Raw genomic sequence first — 22,143 nt, 5'->3', positions numbered from 1 at the left:
GGGCCACGGGTTGGACAAGCTTGCTTTAAATGTTAGCTTAAATATTTTTCTCTTTCAATTCATTTTATTCTAGAAGCTAGAAATCTTTGCTCACAGTGGCGCAGTAGGAAAAGCCAGTGTTGGAGAAGAGAAGTGTGTATTGAGACCGACAGCTTCATCACCTGTGGTCCTCAACCAGGGGCAATTTTGTGTGCCCAGGGGGTTTTGGCAATGTCTGGAGACATTTTTTGGCTGCCACACCCGGGGACTGGTGCTGCTAGAATCTGATGAGTAGAAGCCAGGCATGCTGCTAAATAGCCTTCAATGCATAGATCAGTTCCTACAACAAGGACTTATCCAGCCCAAAATGTCAATAGTGCTGAGATTGGGAACCCTCTCCCGGCCTCACGAGAAGCGTCTTCAGCTTTAACACTGAAGACCTGAGTCCTTGGCCAGCCACTGTATACAATCAAAGCTGTGCTTCTCTAAAGTTGAAAACTCATTTAGTAATGCCAGCTGTGAGCACTGTGAACAGGTATGGCACTAAGCAATGGTGACTCTGCTGAGTTCCAGAACTTTCTATCTCTTACTAACCAGTAGCATTTCTGCTTACAGCTTGGCTTTCCAGATGACAATAAAAATAGAAGCAAAGTATCTGGATTAAAAAGCCACCCAAAGTCAAGGGGTCAAGGCTCCATATATATATATATTTTTTAATCATAATACACATAAAACTTACCATCTTAACCATTTTTAAGTGTACAGTTCAGTAACACTAAGTACATTCACATTGTTGTGAAATCAATATCCAGAACTCTCATCTTGCAAAACTGAAACCCTATACCCATTAGACAAGAACACCTCCATTTTCCACCCCAAGGACTCTCAATATTTTCATAAGATAAAATACTCACAGAAAAACAAATTGAAACAAAACAAAACACAAACCGACCAACAAAAACCCAGAAGGTTTTTTGTTTGTTTGTTTTTTTTTTTTTGAGACAGAGTCTTGTTTTGTCACCCAGGCTGGAGTGCAATGGTGCCACCACAGCCCACTGTAGCCTCAACCTCCAGGACTCAAGCGATCGTCTCACCTCAGCCTCCCAAGTAGCTGGGACTACAGGCATGTGCCACCACACCCGGCTAATTTTTAAACATTTTTTGTAGAGATGGGGTCTCACTATGTTACTCAGGCTGGTCTCAAATTCCTGGGCTCAAGCTTCCTGAGTAGCTGGGATTACAGGTGCCCGCCACCATGGCCGGCTAATTTTCATATTTTTAGTAGAGGCGAGGTTTCACTATGTTGGCCAGGCTGGTCTCGAACTCCTGACCTCATGTATTCCGCCCACCTCGGCCTCCCAAAGTGCTGGGATTACAGGCGTGAGCCACCACGCCCAGCCACAAAATATTTTTTAAAATTATCTGGGCATGGTAGTGCACGCCTGTAGTCCCAGCTACTTGAGAGGCTGAGGTGGGAGGATTGCTTGAGCCCAGGATTTGGAGGCTGCAGTTAGCTATGATCATGCCACTGCACTCCAGCCTGGGTGACAGAGCAAGACCCAGTCACTAAAAATAAAAATTAAAAAATAAATAAATAAAAGGGGCCCTGGAGAGGTACCTCAGCCCTTCTGCCATATGAGGAAACAGAAGACAGACGTAAACCAAAAAGCCAGCCCTCACCAGACACCACATCTGCCAGCGCCATGGTCTTGGAGTTGTCCAGCCTCCAGAACTGTGAGGAATAAATGTCTGTTGTTGAAGCCACCCAATCTATAGTCTTTGGTTATGGCAGCCCAAACGGACTAAGACACGAAGCTTACCAAATGGCAGAGCCATGTGCTTCCCGAGATCAGCGATGCTGAGGAGAAGGCTGATCTACCCCAGTTCAGGAAGAGGGACTTAGGGCTTTCCTTGGCAATGTTCTGCTCCTGGGGGGTCCTTGGTACTCAAATCTGAACTCTGTTCCTCTGCCTATCAGTGAATGAAAACATCTCCTGGCTTCTCCACTTCCATCATTTTTTTGTTTCCAGCTCTTTCTCTCCTCCCCGTTTTAGCATACAGTAGTCCCCTCTTATTCACAGGGGATATGTTCCAAGATCCCCAGCGGATGCCTGAAGCCTCAGATAGTACCCATCCCTATGTATATTGTTTTTTCCTACAGACTACATGCCTATGATAAAGTTTAATTTATATATTAGGCACAGTAAGCAATTAACAATAAGTAATAATAAATAGGACAATTATAACAATGTGCCAGCATCACTACTCTTGCAAGTTGGGGCCAATGTTAAGTACTACAAGGGTTTCTTGAACACAAACACGGTGATACCATGACAGTAGCTCTGACAACCAAGATGGCTAAGTGACTAACCAGCAGGTAGAGCCTGGATGCGCTGGACAAAGGGAGGATTCACGTTGCAGACGGGATCAAGCTTACAGCGAGAGATCTCATCACGCTGCCCAGAATGGTGCACAGCTTAAAACTCATGGATTATCCCCTCTCCCTCTCCCCACGGTCTCCCTCTCCCTCTCCCTCTCCCCACGGTCTCCCTCTCCCTCTCTTTCCACGGTCTCCCTCTGATGCTGAGCCGAAGCTGGATGGTACTGCTGCCATCTCGGCTCACTGCAACCTCCCTGCCTGATTCTCCTGCCTCAGCTTGCGGAGTGCCTGTGATTGCAGGCACGCGCCGCCACGCCTGACTGGTTTTCGTATTTTTTTGGTGGTGACGGGGATTCGCTGTGTTGGCCGGGCTGGTCTCCAGCTCCTAACCGCGAGTGATCCGCCAGCCTCGGCCTCCCGAGGTGCCAGGATTGCAGACGGAGTCTCGTTCACTCAATGCTCAATGGTGCCCAGGCTGGAGTGCAGTGGCGTGATCTCGGCCCGCTACAACCTCCACCTCCCAGCAGCCTGCCTTGGCCTCCCAAAGTGCCGAGATTGCAGCCTCTGCCCGGCCCCCACCCCGTCTGGGAAGTGAGGAGCGTCTCCGCCTGGCCGCCCATTGTCTGGGATGTGAGGAGCCCCTCTGCCTGGCTGCCCAGTCTGGAAAGTGAGGAGCGTCTCTGCCCGGCGGCCATCCCATCTAGGAAGTGAGGAGCGCCTCTTCCCGGCCGCCATCACATCTGGGAAGTGAGGAGCGTCTCTGCCCGGCCGCCCATCGTCTGAGATGTGGGGAGCACCTCTGCCCTGCCGCCCCGTCCGGGATGTGAGGAGCATCTCTGCCCGGATGCCCCGTCTGAGAAGTGAGGAGTCCCTCCGCCCGGCAGCCGCCCCGTCTGAGAAGTGAGGAGCGTCTCCGCCTGGCAGCCACCTCGTCCAGGAGGGAGGTGGGGGGGGTCAGCCCCCCGCCCGGCCAGCCGCCCCGTCCGGCAGGTGAGGGGCGCCTCTGCCCGGCCGCCCCTACTGGGAACTGAGGAGCCCCTCTGCCCGGCCAGCCGCTCCGTCCGGGAGGGAGGTGAGGGGGTCAGCCCCCCACCCGGCCAGCCGCCCCGTCCGGGAGGGAGGTGGGGGGGTCAGCCCCTCGCCCGGCCAACCGCCCTGTCTGGGAGGGAGGGAGGTGGGGGGGTCAGCCCCCCGCCCGGCCAGCTGCCCTGTCCGGGAGGTGAGGGGCGCCTCTGCCCGGCCGCCCCTACTGGGAAGTGAGGAGCCCCTCTGCCCGGCCAGCCACCCCGTCCAGGAGGGAGGTGGGGGGGGTCAGCCCCCGTCCGGCCAGCCGCCCCGTCGGGAGGTGAGGGGCGCCTCTGCCCGGCCGCGCCTACTGGGAAGTGAGGAGCCCTCTGCCCGGCCACCACCCCGTCTGGGAGGTGTACCCAACAGCTCATTGAGAACAGGCCATGATGACAATGGCGGTTTTGTAGAATAGAAAGAGGGGAAAGGTGGGGAAAAGATTGAGAAATCGGATGGTTGCCGTGTCTGTGTAGAAAGAGGTAGACGTGGGAGACTTTTCATTTTGTTCTGTACTGAGAAAAATTCTTCTGCCTTGGGATCCTGTTGATCGGTGACCTTACCCCCAACCCTGTGCTCTCTGAAACATGTGCTGTATCCACTCAGGGTTGAATGGATTAAGGGTGGTGCAAGATGTGCTTTGTTAAACAGATGCTTGAAGGCAGCATGCTCCTTAAGAGTCATCACCACTCCCTAATCTCAAGTACCCAGGGACACAAACACTGCGGAAGGCCGCAGGGTCCTCTGCCTAGGAAAACCAGAGACCTTTGTTCACTTGTTTATCTGCTGACCTTCCCTCCACTATTGTCCTGTGACCCTGCCAAATCCCCTTCTGCGAGAAACACCCAAGAATGATCAATAAAAAAAAAATAATAATAATAATAATAAAATTAAATTAAATTAAAAAAAAAAACTCATGGATTATTTCGGCCGGGCGCGGTGGCTCACGCCTGTAATCCCAGCACTTTGGGAGGCCGAGGTGGGCGGATCACAAGGTCAGGAGATTGCGACCATCCTGGCTAACATGGTGAAACCCCGTCTCTACTAAAAATACAAAAAATTAGCCAGGCATGGTGGCAGGCATCTGTAGTCCCAGCTACTCAGGAGGCTGAGGCAGGAGAATGGTGTGAACCCGGGAGGCGGAGCTTGCAGTGAGCTGAGATCGTGCCACTACACTCCAGCCTGGGCGACACAGCAAGACTCCGTCTCAAAACAAAACAAAACAAAAGACTCATGGATTATTTCTAGAATTTCACATTTAATATATATTTCTTTTCTTTTCTTTAAGACGAGGTCTCACTCCATTGCCCAGGCTGGAGGGCAGTGGTACCATCAGAGCTCACTGCAGCCTCCATCTCCTGGGCATAAGCCATCCTCCCACCTAAGCCCCCCAAGCAGCTGAGATGACAAGCGCATGCCACCACACCCGGCTAATTTTCGTATTTTTTGCAGAGACGAGGTTTTGCCATGTTACCCAGGCCACTCTTGAACTCTTGGACTCAAGGGATCCACTTACCTCAACCTTCCAAAGTGCTGGAATTACAGGCATGAGCCACCATGCTTGGCTCATTTAATGTTTTCAAACTGCAGTTGATCATGGGTAACCGAAACCTGAGAGGGTGAAACTGTGGATGAGGGGGAACTATGTACATTAAATACATTCCTTCAGGTACATGCGCGAAGAACTGATTGTATGCTAGGCACACAATGCTGCTGGAAATAGAAATATTTCAACCACTTTTCTCAAGGTGTTTACAGACTAATGAGAAATTAAATTTAGTTTTTTGTTTGTTTTTGTTTTTGTTTTTTTGAGACAAGTTCTCACTTTGTCTCTGGCTGGAGTACAGTGGCACAATCTCAGCTCACTGCAGCCTCTGCCTCCCAGGTTCAAGGAATTCTCCTGCCTCAGCCTCCCAAGTAGCTGGGATTACAGGCGCCCGCCAACATGCCTGGGTAATTTTTGTATTTTTAGTAGAGATGGGGTTTCGCCATGTTGGCCAGGCTGGTCACAAACTCCTGACCTCAGGTGATCCACCACCTTAGCCTTCCAAAGTGCTGGGATTACAGGTGTGAGCCACCACGCCCGGTCCAGAAATAAATTTCTTTTTTTTTTTTTGAGACGGAGTCTCGCTCTGTTGCCCAGGCTGGAGTGCAGTGGCACAATCTCAGCTCACTGCAAGCTCCTCCTCCCGGGTTCACGCCATTCTCCTGCCTCAGCCTCCCGAGTAGCTGGGACTACAGGCGCCCGCCACCACGCCCGGCTAATTTTTTTGTATTTTTAGTAGAGACAGGGTTTCACCATTTTAGCCAGGATGGTCTCGATCTCCTGACCTAGTGATCCGCCCGCCTCGGCCTCCCAGAGTGCTGGGAATACAGGCATGAGCTACCGCGCCCGGCCAATAAATTTCTAAATGAAGGAAATTTGGAAATGAAATATAAGTTGTACAAATGGACAAGTGGCATAATATTATGTTGTACAAAGGGACTTTCATTATTCCTGATGAAAACTCATGCCAGAGCTTACATTTGTTCCCTCCAGAAATCTCAGTAAAATTTTAAAAAAAAGAAACATTTATAAATGCTTATGGACAAAAGGAATGGAAGAGAAGATGATATCAGACAAAAGACATCAATGAAATTTTGGAAGATGTAAAATGGAGGGGCCCGTGCCACCTGGAAAGTAAGCTGGTTTGTGCTGCGGGACCCAGGAGTGGTCAGGAATCGGAGGCTGAGCAGCAGTGTTGATGATAGTCTTTAAAAAGAATAGATAAGAACCCCAGATCTCCTTTCCCAGCCCACGCAGCCATGCAACTACACCACCTCCACCACTAAGGGAAGTTTATTAACTCCAAAGGAAGACTTTGGAGCCTCAATATCAAAACATAGCTAGACACCAGATATTGTTCCAAAAAAGGGAATTTTGTGAACATTTGGGTACTGAGATGCTATTCCCAGATCCTTCCCCTGCAGGGCTTTTACCTTCCCCAGGCAGGAGAAAGGAGGAAAACTCTCTGGGAAAACTGATCCATCGGCCGGGCGCGGTGGCTCACGCCTGTAATCCCAGCACTTTGGGAGATCAAGGCGGGTGGATCATGAGGTCAGGAGCTCGAGACCATCCTTGCTAACACGGTGAAACCCTGCCTCTACTAAAAATATGAAAAATTAGCCGGGCATGGTGGTGGGCGCCTGTGGTCCCAGCTACTGGGAGGCTGAGGCAGGAGAATGGCGTGAACTCGGGAGGCAGAGCTTGCAGTGAGCCGAGATTGCGCCACTGCACTCCAGCCTGGGTGACAGAGCGAGACTCCATCTCAAAAAATAATAATAATAAATAAATAAAACTGATCCACCCAAGGGGGAAGAAAATCTACAGATCTAACATCTGGGGACCTGACCTAATGACTCTTCATGACACTCACCAGAAGAATAGCTTCAAACATGCACATGGAGCTGCGATGAATAGACAGCCAAAGACTACTAGAGCTCTGAGGGAAGTCCGCCCCGCAAAAAAAGACCAAAACATGGCTGGGCGCAGTGGCTCACACCTGTAATCCCAGCAATTTGGGAGGCCAAGGCAGGCAGATCACCAGAGGTAAGGAGTTCAACACCAGCCTGGCCAATGTGGTGAAACCCCGTCTCTACTAAAACTACAAAAATTAGGCTGGCATGGTGGCAGACGCCTGTAATCCCAGCTACTCGGGAGGCTGATGCAGGAGAATCGCTTGAATCAGGAGGTAGAGGTTACAGTGAGCCAAGATCGCACCACTGCACTCCAGCCTGGGTGACAGAGAGAGACTCTGCCTCAAAAACAACAACAACAACAACAACAAGAAAACGCCCATCCAAAGTACATCACATGGAATTTCAGAACACCAAGAATGAAAGCAATGCTTCCAAAGAAAGAAAATTACAGTTACAAAGCCTAGGACAGAATCAGTCTTAGTGCTAACAATACTGGGAAATTGAAGGTGGTATAATAATGTCTTCAAAAGTCTGTGGAAACATTTTTGCAATCTAGACTTTTATACCCAGCCACACAATCTACCTATCAAACTATCAAATATACAGGTGGAATAAAAATATCCAAGTTCTCAAAAAATTGTGAGAAGACTTGGTTGATCAAAACAATGGAATAAAACAGACAAAAGAATAGGAAACAGAGCATTCAGGAAACAGGGATGCCAATACTGGAGAGAGAAAAAGGGTTATCCTACAATGATGGTATAGAGAAGATACAGGATTGGAGCAAGCCATATGATTCCATATATAAAATTCTAGAAAATGCAACTAGTCTATAATAATAGATAGTAGACCAGTGGTTGCCTGGACATGGGGGTGAAGGGAGGAATAGATTATAAGGGAGCATGAGGAAACTTTTGAGTGTGCTGGAAATGTCCATTATTTTAATTATATTAATGGATTCATGGGTGTACATGTGTCAAAACTCATAAAATTGTTCACTTTAAATATATGCATTTTATTGCACCTTAAATCAGAATCAAGTTGTCAGAATCAATAAAAAATAAAAAACAACAATAAAAGGCCAACCCTGATAAATGAGTCAGAGAAGGTCCTGAAGAGAGGGTTCTCATGCTTGTATGCCTCATAAAACACTATCACAAATGTTGCAAAAAACACAACCTAGTGCAACAGCCATCCCAACCTTACACAAAAAATACTTCTGCAAGGACATCTGCTCGGCAATTGCCTGTCCAACCTCAGACTGGTGCCACCCTTGTTACTGATCTTTGTAGCAAGGATAATTATTTCAAAACAATTATGTAATCTTTCTCTTTTTTTTTTTTTTTTTTTTTTTGAGATGGAGTCTCCCTCTGTCACCAGGCTGGAGTGCAGTGGCACGATCTTGGCTCACTGCAAACTCCACCTCCTGGGTTAAAGTGATTCTCCTGCCTCAGCCTCCCCAAGTAGCTGGGACTACAGGTGCACACCACCACACCCAGCTAATTTTTTTTGAATTTTCAGTAGAGACAAGGTTTCACCATGTTAGCTAGGCTGGTCTCAAACTCTTGACCTCAGGAGATCCGCCCACCTCGGCCTCCCAAAGTGCTGGGATTACAGGCGTGAGCCACTGCACCCCATCTCTTCCTTATTTTTTCCTGTAAACAATGTGTCTTCCTGTCTGAATATGCACATAGTTTACCATGGCATGCATATTTCCACTGCAATGCTCTATTCCCAAACAATACCTTTTTCTTTCGGAGAACTTCTCTCTCTTTGTTTTTTAGGTTGACACTTTTGTTTTTCTTTTTCTTTTTTTGAGACAGAGTCTCACTCCATCACCAAGGCTAGAGTGCGGTGGCATGATGTCAGCTCACTGCAACCTCCGCCTCCTGGGTTCAAGTGATTCTCATCCCTCAGCCTCCCGAGTAGCTGGGATTACAAACACCCCCCACCATGCCCAGCTAATTTTTGTATTTTTAGTAGAGACGGGGTTTCGCCATGTTGGCCAGGCTGGTCTCAAACTCCTGACCTCAAGTGATCCACCTGCCTCGGCCCCCCAAAATGCTGGGATTACAGGCGTGAGCCACTGCACCCGGCGGTTGACACATTTTATACCAATAAAGCAGTAAAAAAAAAAAAAAAAAAAATTAGGAAAACAAGCGAATTGGTGAAGTGGAAGATTGGTCAGAGGTAACTATCCACAAAGAAGCCATAGAAATAAAAAGAAGCAAGATACAGAAGAAATAATAAAAAGCAGATATGACATGCTTGAAAGGTCTACCGTGTTTTTTTGGAGTCCCAAAATGAGAAGAAAGAATTCAATAGCTCTAACAGAACCTAAAGGAAGAGAAATGATATCACCAAAGTGCTGGAAGACAAAATAACTGCTAAAACAAATTTTCTACCCAGAGAAAGTATCCTTTATTAATGAAAATAAGAAAAAGACATTTTCAGATTAGCGGAAGCTGAGAGAGTTCTCCAAGAGCAGGCCCCCCCAACTCAGAGAAATTCCATAGGGTGTTTTTTGGGCTGAAGATCAATGACCTCCACATGGAAGCTCAGAGACGCAGCAAAGAATGAAGAACTAAGACGTTCAAGGAGTGTTCAGAGAATAAGCGATATATTTTTCTGACTAGAACCAAAGATCTATAAAGGAAAGCCGGAGGGTATAAGGCTGAAAATATGTGAACCGAGATCAACAAGGGTCCTAAATCCCAGGCAGGAGGAAGAAGAAAGGGGAGCATATCTGGAGAAATATTAAAGTTAAGAGAGGCCAAGCATGGTGGTTTATGCTTATAATCCCAGCAACTGGAGAGGCTGAGGCGGGAAGATCACGTCAACCCAGAAGTTTAAGGCTACAGTGAGTTATTATGACACCACTGCACTCCAGCCTGGGTGACAGAATGAGACCCCATCTCCTTAAAAAAGAGAGAGAGAGAGAGAGAGAGAGAGAGAGAGAGAGAGAGAAAGCTCACCAGCCAAGGACAGAGAGGTTACAATGAAGAGAAGTCAGGTGATATTGTTAAATAATGCCTAATCCAGGCAGATGGCAAGAAAACAAGGCCACTGGGTTCAAGAAGTAATAGGAAACTTTGAGAAGGTGATATTCATGAAATGATGGGATGAGCAAAGAATTCAAGAATGAGTGGTGGCCAGGCATGGTGGCTCACGTCTGTAATCCCAGCACTTTGGGAGGCTGAGGCGGGGGGATCACCTGAGGTCAGGAATTCGAGAATAGCCTGGCCAACATGGTAAAACCCCATCTCTACTAAAAATACAAAAATTATCTAGTTATGGTGGGAGGCTGAGGCAGGAGAATCGCTTGAACCCAGGAGTCGGAGGTTACAGTGAGCCAAGATTGCACCACTGCACTCCAGCCTGGGCGACAGAGCAAGACTCTGTCTCAAAAAAAAAAAAAAAACACCAAGAGTGAGTGGTAAAGGAAGGAGAAGCAGTAGGTGCTTCCACTTAGAAGTCCAACAAAGACCAAACTCTACTTCTACAAAATAGGACCCTTGGTCACTCCCCTCCCCAGCCTGCCTCTTCCCCAGTCTTCCTCAGCTCCACAAACAGCCTTACTACCTAGTAACTCAAGCCAAAATATAGAAGTAACCACCAATTCTTCTCTTTTCTTTATTCCCCAAGCCCAATCAATCAGTAATTCCTGTTGCCTCCAATCCAATGTGTGGTCCATGTGTGACCATTCCCATTGCTCCTGACTGAGTCTAAGTCCAAGGCCACCGTCATCTGTTCCTTGGAACACTGCAATAGCCTCTGATGGGGTAGGGGTGAGGGGATGCCTCCATTCTTGCTCCTTTGAATCCAATCTCCCTGGAGAGATCATTCAGGTAGGACAAAAATCAGACCATGTCATTTCCCTGCTTAGAATCCTTCAGTGGTTCCCCATTGTGGCCAGAATGAAATTTCAATTGCTGAGCACCATGTTTAAGGCCCCTGGTGATACCGCCCTGGTGTGGCTTCTCTAACCTCCTTTCCTATCACTCTCCCACCTTCGTCAGCTCTGCGCTCACCTGCTCTCTCCCTGGTCCTGCACACCAAACCTGTTCCTGCCTCAAAGGCTTTGCCCTGGAGATTCTTCCCCCTTGCAAAGCTGGGTCTTGCAAAGCTGGGTCCTTCCCATCATTCAGTTCAAAATCACCTCCTGGGATAGATCTTCCCAGACCAACCAATGTGGAGTACCTTTCCTGCACCGGAGATGTTCCACCATTACATCACTATGTTGTATTTTACTTACACACTGATCATCTCAAATTATCTTGTGTATTCACTAATTTGTTTCTTTTCTGCACCTGCCCCGTGCCACGCTGAGTGTTCATGTGGCGCCCGGCCTTGAGTGTTACTTTCACTAGCACAGCACCCATTTCTCTCTTGTGAATTGCTGAGACTCTAGTGCCCATTTCAGGACTCTGTCTTCAGACTTAAGGATAAGAGGAATAGACACTAGGGTGGGGGGAATGTATAGGCTATTAATATGAGATGAAAATGAAAAGATTGCCAGGTAACACTGCAGTACAGTTGAAGTTAGATAGCACGAACTCTGTATTTTCCAAGACTTTCTCCACCTACTCTTGACAGCCTGGGTGAGAATAGAAAGGTTGACAACAGAGACAACATAAATTTTGGGCAGAGCCAAAGGACAAAGGACTGTATCACTGAAACGGCCAAGAAAGCAGACTGGAATGGGGTACCCCTAAGAGATCTGATGGATTTTGATAGATCAATACATAGAGACTAAGGACCTAAAGTCCCAAGCAGTGAAAACCAGTCCCACAGGCACAACGGAAGAATGACATTGCAGGTAAAATGCTGAGTGGCGTTAGATTCTCAGCCTCTCTGGGCGGCTATCTCCAAAGAGGCAGGTGTGGCTCTTCCCCCGGGGTATCCCGACCCTTCTGTAATGATCATCTTGGCTAAAGACTAGTCAGTGAATACTCAGAAAGAAGATAACATCAAGAAAATTTAATTATTGAATGCTGGCAAAGTTCCCCTTCTTTCCTTAAGCAAAGGATCTTTTTTCCCTATCTCCTTTAGCAGGGTTGTCAGAGCTCATGAGGGAGAGGACGGGCAGGCTATGAATGGCAAGCATGCAGTAAATCCCAGTCTGGACTCAGTGACAAAGGAGTAATAAAAAGATTATAGGTAATTTTTCCTCCTGAATTATAGAGAGGGTGTGGATTCAGCCTGGCTATAGAAGGGGTGGGGCAGGCTGCCCACCTCTGCTCTCAGGAGCGTTACTCAGGAAAAGGGGGAAGGGCTGCAAGGCCTCCAGCTGGGGTTACAAATCAAAATACAGGATTCTGGCCAGTATGGTGGCTCACGCCTGTAATCCCAGCACTTTGGGAGGCCAAGGTGGGCTGATCACCAGAATTGCTTAAACCTAGGAGGCGGAGGTTGCAGTGAGCCAAGATCATGCCGCTGCACTCCAGACAGGGCAACAGAGCAAGACTCCATCTCAAAAAAATAAAATAAAATAAAAAAATAAAGCAGGATTCCCAGAAAAGTAGTTATTTAGTATATGTATACATCCCCATACAATGTGATGTGTGTGTGTGTGTGTGTGTGTATGTATATATATATATATGTTTTGTTTTTTTTTTGAGACAGGGTCTCAATCTGTCACCCAGGCTGGAGTGCAGTGGCATTATCACAGCTCACTGCAGCCTCGACCTCCCCGGGCTCTGGTGATCCTCCCATCTCAGCCTCCCAAGTGGCTGGGACCAAAAGCATGTGCTACCATGCCTGGCTAATTTTTGCATTTTGTGTAGAGTTGGGGGTTTCACCATGTGGCCCAGGCTTGTCTTGAACTCCTGGGCTCAAGAGATCTGACCACCTTGGCCTCCCAAAGTGATGTGATTACAGGCATGAGCCACTGCACCCAGTCCTTGGTATACTTATACTAAAAAATTCTTCATTGTTCATCTAAAATGCAAATATAGCTGAGCATAGTGTATTTCATCTGGCAACCTACCTCCAGTGCTATAGGGAGGGTCCCAGAACTGGACTGAGCCATTAACAGAGAAACCTTCCTGAGCGGCTACACAGAGTAGCTGTGCTGGAAGCCAAAATGTTTTGGGGTCATTCTGCATATGAATCATGGTGGAGGTAAATATTCTTATGTTTACTATTTAAAGATGGGGCCGGGTATGCTAGCTCAAGCCTGTAATCCCAGCACTTTGGGAGGCCGAGGCAGGCGGATCACCTGAGGTCAGGGGTTTGAGACCAGCCTGGCTAACATGGCGAAACCCCCATCTCTACTAAAAATACAAAAATTAGCTGGGCATGGTGGCAGGCGCCTGTAATCCCAGCTACTTGGGAGGTAGAGGCAGGAGAATCGCTTGAACCCAGGAAGCCAAGGTTGCAGTGAGCCAAGACTGTGCCACTGCACTCCAGCCTGAGAGACAGAGTGAGACTCCACCTTAAAAAAAAAAAATTGGCTGGGTGCAGTGGCTCACACCTGTAATCCCAGCACTTTGGGTGGCCAAGGTGATCAGATCACTTGAGGTCAGGAGTTCAAGACCAGCCTGTCCAACATGGCAAAACCCTGTCTTTACTAAAAATACAAAAATTAGCTGGGCGTGGTGGCACATGCCTGTAATCCCATCTACTCGGGAGGCTGAGGTATGAGAATCACTTGAACCCAGGAGGTGGAGGTTGTGGTGAGCAGAGATCATGTCACTGCACTCCAGCCTGGGCAACAGAGTGAGACTCTGTCTCAAAAGAATAAATAAAATAAAGATGAGAGAATTTGTTAGCAGTTGCATAAATGCGTATATCTCATATAATATTTGCGTAAATATAAAATACATATGCCCATGTATGTATAGTTACATAAATATATTACATCAGTTTATATTTAAATGTCACCTATTAAGTTTTGCTTTACAGCTATGTTACAGACTGTTTTGTGGTTTCACCCAACAAAAAGAAACCAAAAGGCCAGGCACGGTGGCTCACACCTGTCATCTCAGCACTTTGAGAGGCTGAGGCGGGCAGATCACTTGAGACGGGAGTTCCAGACCAGCCCTGCAATGTAGCAAGACCCTGTCTCTACAAAAAATACAAAGCTTAACCAGGTATGGTGGCGGGCACCTGTAGTCCTAGCTACTATGGAGGCTGAGGTGGGAGAATTACCTAAGCTTGAAGAGGTGGAGGCTGCAGCAAGCCATGATTGCACCACTGTACTGCAGCCTGGGTGACAGAGGGAGACCCCGTCTCAAAAAAAAAAAAAAGAAAGAGAAAAGAAAAAGAAAACAAAGTGCAAGGCATGAGTTAAAGCAGCTGGGTTTTGTCAGTTGCTCGGCGTAAGTAGTTTGTTGGATGTGCGTTTTTAACTTATAAATTTGTACTGCCTTTGGTTTCCATTATTTTGCCCGTTGAAGATTAGGGTTTTGGAGGAGAGAAACGAGAGAGCCAGCCTCAGAAACAGATACATTCCTCAAGCCTGTGGAGCATCTAAGTTAGCTTTCTATTTATCACCACCACTTTCCAAGTAACCATAACACAAAATCTCGTGGGCCCAAGAGAGGACAGCCACAGAGCATTCCTGAGTCACTATTTATCTTGTTTGAGTGGTGATAAAAACCAGGTCATTCTCAATCATAGAAACACAGACCTGGGCGTAGTGAAACATATGTTATGTTCCATTTATATAATTCCTAGAGGCTGTGTTTTCCAAAGCAGAGGAGGGATGGCAAAGAACTTCTCTACCCAAGTAAGCATTATGGCCCAATTAATGTCTACAAACCTAAGGAGGCCGGGCGCGGTGGCTCACGCCTGTAATCCCAGCACTTTGGGAGGCCGAGGCAGGTGGATTACTAGGTCAGGAGACCAAGACCATCCTGGCTAACATGGTGAAACCCCATCTCTATTAAAAATACAAAAAAAAAAAATTAGCCAGGCGTGGTGGCAGGCGCCTGTAGTCCCAGCTACTCAGTAGGCTGAGGCAGGAGAATGGCATGAACCCGGGAGGTGGAGCTTGCAGTGAGCCGAGATCGTGCCACTGCACTCCAGCCTGGGCGACAGAGCGAGACTCCATCTCAAAAAAAAAAGAAAAAAGAAAAAAGAAAAAAAAACCTAAGGGAAAAAGGAATGTCTCCACATTGTTGTTTTTACCCCCAGTCTCTCTGTATGAAATTCTTGGCCGGGTGCGGTGGCTCACGCCTGTAATCCCAGCACTTTGGGAGGCCGAGGCAGGTGGATCACGAGGTCAGGAGTTCGAGACCAGCCTGGCCAATATGGTGAAACCCCGTCTCTACTAAAAATACAAAAATTAGCTGGGCGTGATGGCGCACGCCTGTAGTCCCAGCTGCTTGGGAGGCTGAGGCAGGAGAATCGCTTGAACCCGGGAGGCGGAGGTTGCAGTGAGCCAAGATCGTGGCACTGCACTCCAGCCTGGGCGACCGAGTGAGACTCTGTCTCAAACAAAAAAAAAAAAAAAGAAAGAAATTCTTAAAGACTGTCAAATGTCAGCATGCAGTTTGGCCCTAACCACAGCTCTTTTCTCTGCAAAGGAGAAAAAGGCAAAGCCCATAACATTGCTGGAAGAGCTGATGGACCATGGAAGCTGTTGTGGAGAAGCTTCACACAACTAAAGAAATAGCCCTTAATTTACAACCTGGGCTGACAGTTTGTTTCAGGCTGACTCAACCCACCCGAACAATCTGTCTCAGCACACCGAAGTGTCTCATGCCAAAAGATCCTAAGAGGGCTGGGCAACTTGGAAGGGATGAGACACAGGCCCAGATGGTGCACATCTGGCCAAAAATTAGAAAGAGAAAGAAATCAGCCTCTCAAATCCACAGACAGGTGTTCGGGGCTTCCCAGGAGACCTGCTTATGAAGGGCAACGGGGATGGCTATGGACTGGTGGTTAGTGAAGGAACAACAAAGGTTTCTGAGACTTGCGCAGGTCAGCGGGAACCAAACAGGTGGCAAGAGTGGGCTGCTGTCCACCTTCCCTTGACAATGGCGTCATTTCGAAGACCTTTAAATTATTTAGATTGTTGTAACCAAGACATCTTTAATAATGCACCAAACAGCAGGCACCAGGTTGAAATCAATTAGACTCCACCGATAAATTATAAGGGAGAAATTTACAGGAGAATGGCTCTGGGGTAGGGACTGCAGGTACACATGCCTGCCAGAGACAATTATATCAGGAACCAAATAGTTATTGCTTTGTCATTTAAGCAGCAGAAAAGATGGCCAGGTGCTCCTAAATTAGAGCAATAACAAATAACTAAAATGAGGAGGCCTGTTCTGGGCAGGAAGGCTTCTGGGTGGCCAAGAGAAAAGACAATGGAGGTAGGAACAAATGTCATTTGGGGGATATCTAGGATCCGGATGCACCCTGCACTGGGGGCACCTCGCGCTTCTTCCAGGAGTTTGGGGCCAGTGGGGTAACAGGTGGTATCACAGGGGTTTGTCTCCCAGAGGATGACAATCTCCTGGAGGTGACTTCAAAGTTTCCCTTTCTAGGCAGGACGCGGTGGCTCATGCCTGTAATCCCAGCACTTTGGGAGGCCGAGGATCTCCTGAGTTCAGGAGCCTCAGACCAGCCTGGCCAACATGGTGAAACCGTGTCTCTACCAAAAATACAAAAAAATTAACTGGGCGTGGTGGCGCGCGCCTGGAGTCCCAGCTACTCGGGAGGCTGAGGCAGGAGAATCGCTTGAACCCGGGAGGTGGAGGCTTCAGTGAGCCGGGATTGCGCCACTGCACACACACCAGGCTGGGCGACAGAGTATGACTCCGTCTCAAAAAAAAAAAAAAAAAGCAAAGTTTCCCTTTCTAGTACAGGAAAAGCCCTAGGGAGTCCTGGCTGGATCTCAGGCCCCCGAGGACGCAGCCACGCCGCGTGCCACGCGTCCATTGGGAGCACGAAGAGACACCCGCGTGGTCACCCCGCCAGGGCTGCCTAGGCGCCGCGTCCCGCCCTAGGCCGCGCGGGGGCGCAAAGCGCAGGCGCACTCCCGCCGGGCGCGGACGGCTCCGGGCCGCCAGGGGCCGCTGTGGCGCAGCCGGGCTGGCCCGCGCTGTCCCTGACGCGGATCACTGGCCCCTCTTGAGCACGGCCTTGCCGGTTTGGCGGGGTGAAAGGTTGCGAAGATGGCGACGGCCTTGAGCGAGGAGGAGCTGGACAATGAAGACTATTACTCGTTGCTGAACGTGCGCAGGGAGGTGAGGCCAGCGGCTGGACGCTCTGGGGGCTGAGGCCGAGCCCGGTCGTTCGGGAGGGCCGGGCTGGCGGTGGCCGCCCCACCCCCGCCACGGGAGGCTCGGGTCCGTCGGGGAGGCCGCGTGACCCCGGCGACGTGCACGCCAGCCGCCCGATGGAGGCGTCCCCACCGCCCAGACCCTCCCGCCGGGGGTTCCGGGGCCAGCCTCCGCCCCAGCTCCTGAAGGCCAGTGCGCCGCGTGCACTGTGTCCGGGTAGGGCCAGAGGCCCCCGCACGCTCAAGAGGAAACGGGGGCCCCGAGGAGGCCACCGTAGTGGGGTTAGCAGTCCTCCGAGACCCCGTCTCGCGCTCAGCCCACATACTCGTCCTGGCTGAGGGGCTGTGTCATCGCCCGCCGCCAGCAGGATGGCGAACTGAGTCTCACCCACCAAGGTCAAGGCCACTAGGGAACGTCCTTAGGGCTTTTTCCGGTTCCCGAGTCTTTCGTGGGGACGCTCTGCCTCTGAAGTGGGTCCAGCCTCAGAGGCATGCGTCTCATGCCCTCTTTCATTCCCCTGGACCCGATGTCCAGAAATTGCAGGCAGAGCCTCCGGGACACAGACCCTCGGCTCGGAGGCTGCAGATTAGGAAGAAGCCCTAGGCCAGAAAAGTGGTGCCCTAACAACAGCTTCAACATTCACACCAAGCACTTGTACCCTGTCTCCTCAACGAATAAAAGATAACATGAGAGAGTCTCACATAGCCTGGCAGTAGTAGGGCCCCACTACACTCCTTTGTTCTTGACTAGTCTGGAGTTGAGATAGGTGTGAAGGGCGAGAAGGCTTCCAGGGTCAGGTCATGAGGTGGATCAGTTTCTTTAAGCCGATGGGTCCAGACTTTTCAGCCCTGCCAGAGAATTCCTAATTCCATCTCTCAGGTTTTCCAGTGGTAATGAAAGCTAGCCAAGTTTGGCTATGCTAACCAAAGCGGGTTCAGTGTGTGTTGTCAGTAAATATTAGTCTATGTGATGTTAATAATACAAACTTATCTTGTGTGGGACCACTATGCTGAATGAACTTTGTACTGTTATCTCATTTAATTCTGAGGATAGCTCTTAAGGTAAGTATTATGATAGCCCTTGATTTACACTTGAGGAAACCAAGGCATAGAGAGATTAAGTAGTGTGTCTAAAGTCACACTACTAGAAAGTGCAAGAGCCTGAACTCAACCCAGGCAGTCTGACTCTGGAGCCCAGCTTGTGAGCTCCATGCTAGTCTGTCACCTTACCTTACCAGTCCTTGGACTACAAAGCTGCTAGTTCTGGTACTGTATCCTTGAGTGTCACGCGCGTCCGTGTGAAGAGACCACCAAACAGGCTTTGTGTGAGCAATAAACCTTTTTAATCACCTGGGTGCGTATGGGCTGAGTCCGAAAAGAGAGTCAGCAAAGGGTGGTGGGATTATCATTAGTTCTTATAGGTTTGGGATAGGCGGTGGAGTTAGGAGCAATTTTTTGTGGGCAGGGGGTGGATCTCACAAAGTACATTCTCAAGAGTGGGGAGAATATTACAAAGTACCTTCTTAAGGGCGGAATATCACAAAGTACATTATCACAAGGGCGGGGAGCGTGTATTGTCATAAGGCCAATTGACCAGTTAGGGTGGGGCAGGAGTAAATCACCATGGTGGAATATCTTCAGTTAAGGCAGGACCTGGCTATTTTCACTTCTTTTGTGGATCTTCAGTTGCTTCAGGCCATCTGGATGTATATGTGCAGGTCATAGGGGATATGATGGCTTAGCTTGGGCTCAGAGGCTTGATACTGAGCACCTCATGAAAGAATCCCTCGAATGTATGGGCCACTGTACTATGAGAATGTCCAGTGAAATATCTTTGGGAATTGCAGATTTTGTTAGGCTGCCATAGGGCACCTGGGGGTTCTTGTTCTCATTAATCAACACTTCGGGCTAATCACTCCTTTTTTTCCTTTTTTTTTTAAATTATACTTTAAGTTCCAGGATACATGTGCAGAACGTGCAGGTTTGTTACATAGGTAAACATGAGCCATGGTGGTTTGCTGCACCCATCAACCCATCATCTAGGTTTTAATGGGCTAATCACTTATTTAGCCTTAAGTCTCTTTCCCTTTAAATGAAGATGTCTGGCTAGTTATACTTTTTTTCCAGTTTTTAGAAGTCAAGCAATAAATGAAGCCAGCCTTTCTGAAATCATTCGTACTTAGTCTGGGTTGTCAGTAATTGAGCAGCCATTTATCAGGCGTACTGAACCGTAGGCAGCTGCTGCAGATGATCAAGCAGGTCTAGAGTAATAGTTTTAGCCAGAGTCCTAGGTGAAGATTTTGTCAAAGGTATACCTTGAAACTGCTGAAACTGTAGAGCCTGTCATTGTTTTTGGACTTACGGATGGGAGCCAAAGAAATTTTGTTTGTTTGTTTAGAGACAGGGTCTCACTCTGTTGCCCAGGCTGAAGTGCAGAGGTGGATCATGGTGCACTGCAACCTTGACTTCCCCGGGCTCAGGTGCTCCCACCTCAGACTCGCTAGTAGCTAGGACCACAGGCACATGCCACCATACCCAGCTAATTTTTGTATCTTTTGTAGAGACAGGGTCTCTCTGTGTTGCCCAGGTTGGTCTCCTGAGCTCAAGCGATCCTCCCACCTCTGCCTCCCAAAGTGCCGGGATTACAGGCATGAACCACCATGCCTGGCCAGGCCTGTCACTGTTATTAGACTTAAGGATGAAGTATATATAAAAACATAGATATAAATATTTATATATAAATATATATATTTATATATATAATTAGACTTCACCCAGGCTGGAGTGCAGTGGTGCAGTCGTGGCTCATAGCAGCCTCGACCTTCCCCGGCTCAGGTGATCCTCCCACCTCAGCCACCAGAGTAGCTGGTATTACAGGCACACACCACCACAGCTGGCTGATTTTTGTAGTTTTTGTAGAGACAGGGTCTCACTGTGTTGCCCAGGCTGGTCTCAAACTCCTGAGCTCAAGCAGTCCACCCATCTCAGCCTCCCAAAGTGCTGGGATTACAGGCATGAGCCACTGCACCCAGCCAAAAAATATTTCTTAAATTTTTTTTTTTTTTTTACTTCTCCCAATGAGTGAAGGCACTTTCCATATTTATGGCTATATGGCTATAGGTTAAATCCATATGAAACATGCTCCCTTGCAGAAGTCACTTTCTGTTGTCTTCGTCAGCAAACTCGGTGTTAAATGTCATACTCAGGTGTGGTGTGCTGGTTTTCCATCCCGGGATTCCATTAGAAGCTCTGAAGGTGATGTCTGAACTTGATATTTGCTGGAATTTTTTGTGTGAAATCAAACGTGAAGTTGAAATAACGTGATTTAGTTGGAAAAAAGTCAGAGTAATCTTAAATCTTAATGTGTGGTTGGAAGAATATCTTAATACCTGTTTGTGTGTTTGCTGTCAGTTCTAGAGTAGTTGCCATTTAAGTATAGCTGTGAGAGGCAAGGCCCTGTTCCCACTGATACTTCAAAGTACCTTCAAAAGAGTGTCCTCAAAACTCTCAATGTTCAGTAGAGTTCAGAGAGTTTTCTTTAGAAATCTCAAATGGAAACAATTCTAGACAAAACCAGGGAATCCTACTTTAAAATTATAAGCATAGGCTGGGCGCGTGGCTCAAGCCTGTAATCCCAGCACTTTGGGAGGCCAAGACGGGCGGATCACGAGGTCAGGAGATGGAGACCATCCTGACTAACACGGTGAAACCCCGTCTGTACTAAAAATACAAAAAATTAGCCGGGCGTGGTGGCGGGCGCCTGTAGGAGGCTGAGGCAGGAGAATGGTGTGAACCCAGGAGGCGGAGCTTGCAGTGAGCCGAGATTGCGCCACTGCACTCCAGCCTGGGTGACAGAGCAAGACTCTGTCTCAAAAAAAAAAAAATTATAAGCATAATAGAGGTATATAATTGGATTAATATAGAAATGTCAACAATCAGCTGAAGAATCTCCCTCTCCAGGATTTAAACTTTAAAATATCCCCTTAAATTTGTATTCTAGAGCAGGGGTCCTCAACCCCCTGGCCATGGACCAGTACTGGTCTGTGGCTTGTTAGGAATTGGGCCGCACAGCAGGAGGTGAGTGGTGGGCAAGCAAGCGGTTAGCGTCGGGCAAGCAAGCGGTTAGCATCGGGCAAGCAAGCATCACCGCCTGAGCTCTGCCTGTCAGATTGGTGGTGGCATTAGCTTCTCATAGGAGCATGAACCCTATTGGGAACTGCACATGCAAGGGATCTAGGTTAGGTCCTCTTTATGAGAATTTGACTAATGCCTGATGATCCCAGGTGGAACAGTTTCATTCCACTCCCACTAGTCTGTGGAAAAATTATCTTCCATGAAACCAGTCCGTGGTGCTAAAAGGTTGGAGACCCCATTGTTGCCGCCGTTGGAGAGAGTGAAGCAGGCAGCTGGAAAGGACCCCCCGTTCTCCTATGACAAGACACATGATCTTTAATGATTCTCCTTCTAGATTTCCTGTTTACAGAGCAGGGCCATCATCTGTCGTGCCTGCCTCACACTGAGAGGAGGGAGTACTTTATCACTCACTGGGCACACCAAAGCCAGACAGGTTTTCTGGTTTAGTGTTAGATGCATCATCTGGTTCCTAAAATCTCACTCCTCTGAGATTTCCAGGATGATTTTCCAAAATTTATTTGGAGAAAGGATTCCTTAACTATAAATCAGAGTTAAATTTACCTGATCCATTAATTAGGAAATTTAATTGACACATTTCAAACCTAATTTATTCCCAAGACAAATGGCTACAGTTCTAACTTTATCATTGTCTTTGAAAGAATTTCATTTTTGCAGTGTTTGTAACCTGTTTGAAGACCTCTGGTCCCAATTGTTTTAACCTTAAGGAGCCATCCTCCTTTTCAACTTTTAAACACTTTTGGAAAAACACAGTTAAGTAAAAAATGAAGTTGTTAATAAATAGTTTTTTTCTTGCAGTCCATATATGGAGGTCAGTGTTCTGAGATCTTCATCCTTCCAGAACAGCCATGAAACTAGAAGTACAAAAGTATCACCT

General features: G+C 48.0%; 1 protein-coding gene across 1 annotated transcript in view, besides 2 other annotated features; it reads left to right on the top strand.

The window, feature by feature from the left end:
• Positions 3,698 to 4,519: an enhancer, noted in NCBI's record as "NANOG-H3K27ac-H3K4me1 hESC enhancer chr1:6774349-6775170 (GRCh37/hg19 assembly coordinates)". NCBI's record gives its function as "activates a minimal SCP1, AML or CMV promoter by ChIP-STARR-seq in primed H9 embryonic stem cells {active_cell/tissue: H9 hESC(primed)}" and the evidence as "EXISTENCE:reporter gene assay evidence [ECO:0000049][PMID:30033119]".
• Positions 16,756 to 17,205: a silencer, noted in NCBI's record as "silent region_173". NCBI's record gives its function as "represses an Ori minimal core promoter by ATAC-STARR-seq in GM12878 lymphoblastoid cells {active_cell/tissue: GM12878}" and the evidence as "EXISTENCE:reporter gene assay evidence [ECO:0000049][PMID:35858748]".
• DNAJC11 (DnaJ heat shock protein family (Hsp40) member C11) overlaps positions 16,992 to 22,143 on the top strand; it is a 67,647-nt gene continuing 62,495 nt past the window's right edge. Inside the window, exon 1 of the mRNA NM_018198.4 lies at positions 16,992 to 17,079. Coding sequence (NP_060668.2) covers positions 17,008 to 17,079 — 72 coding nt within the window. The 5' untranslated portion in view covers positions 16,992 to 17,007. The remainder of the gene's footprint in view (positions 17,080 to 22,143) is intronic.

This window comes from Homo sapiens, chromosome 1, assembly GCF_000001405.40.
Source record: "Homo sapiens chromosome 1, GRCh38.p14 Primary Assembly".
Lineage (NCBI taxonomy): Eukaryota > Metazoa > Chordata > Mammalia > Primates > Hominidae > Homo > Homo sapiens.
The sequence above is the reverse complement of the archived record's forward strand: the minus strand, read 5'-3'. Positions and strand labels throughout refer to the sequence as shown.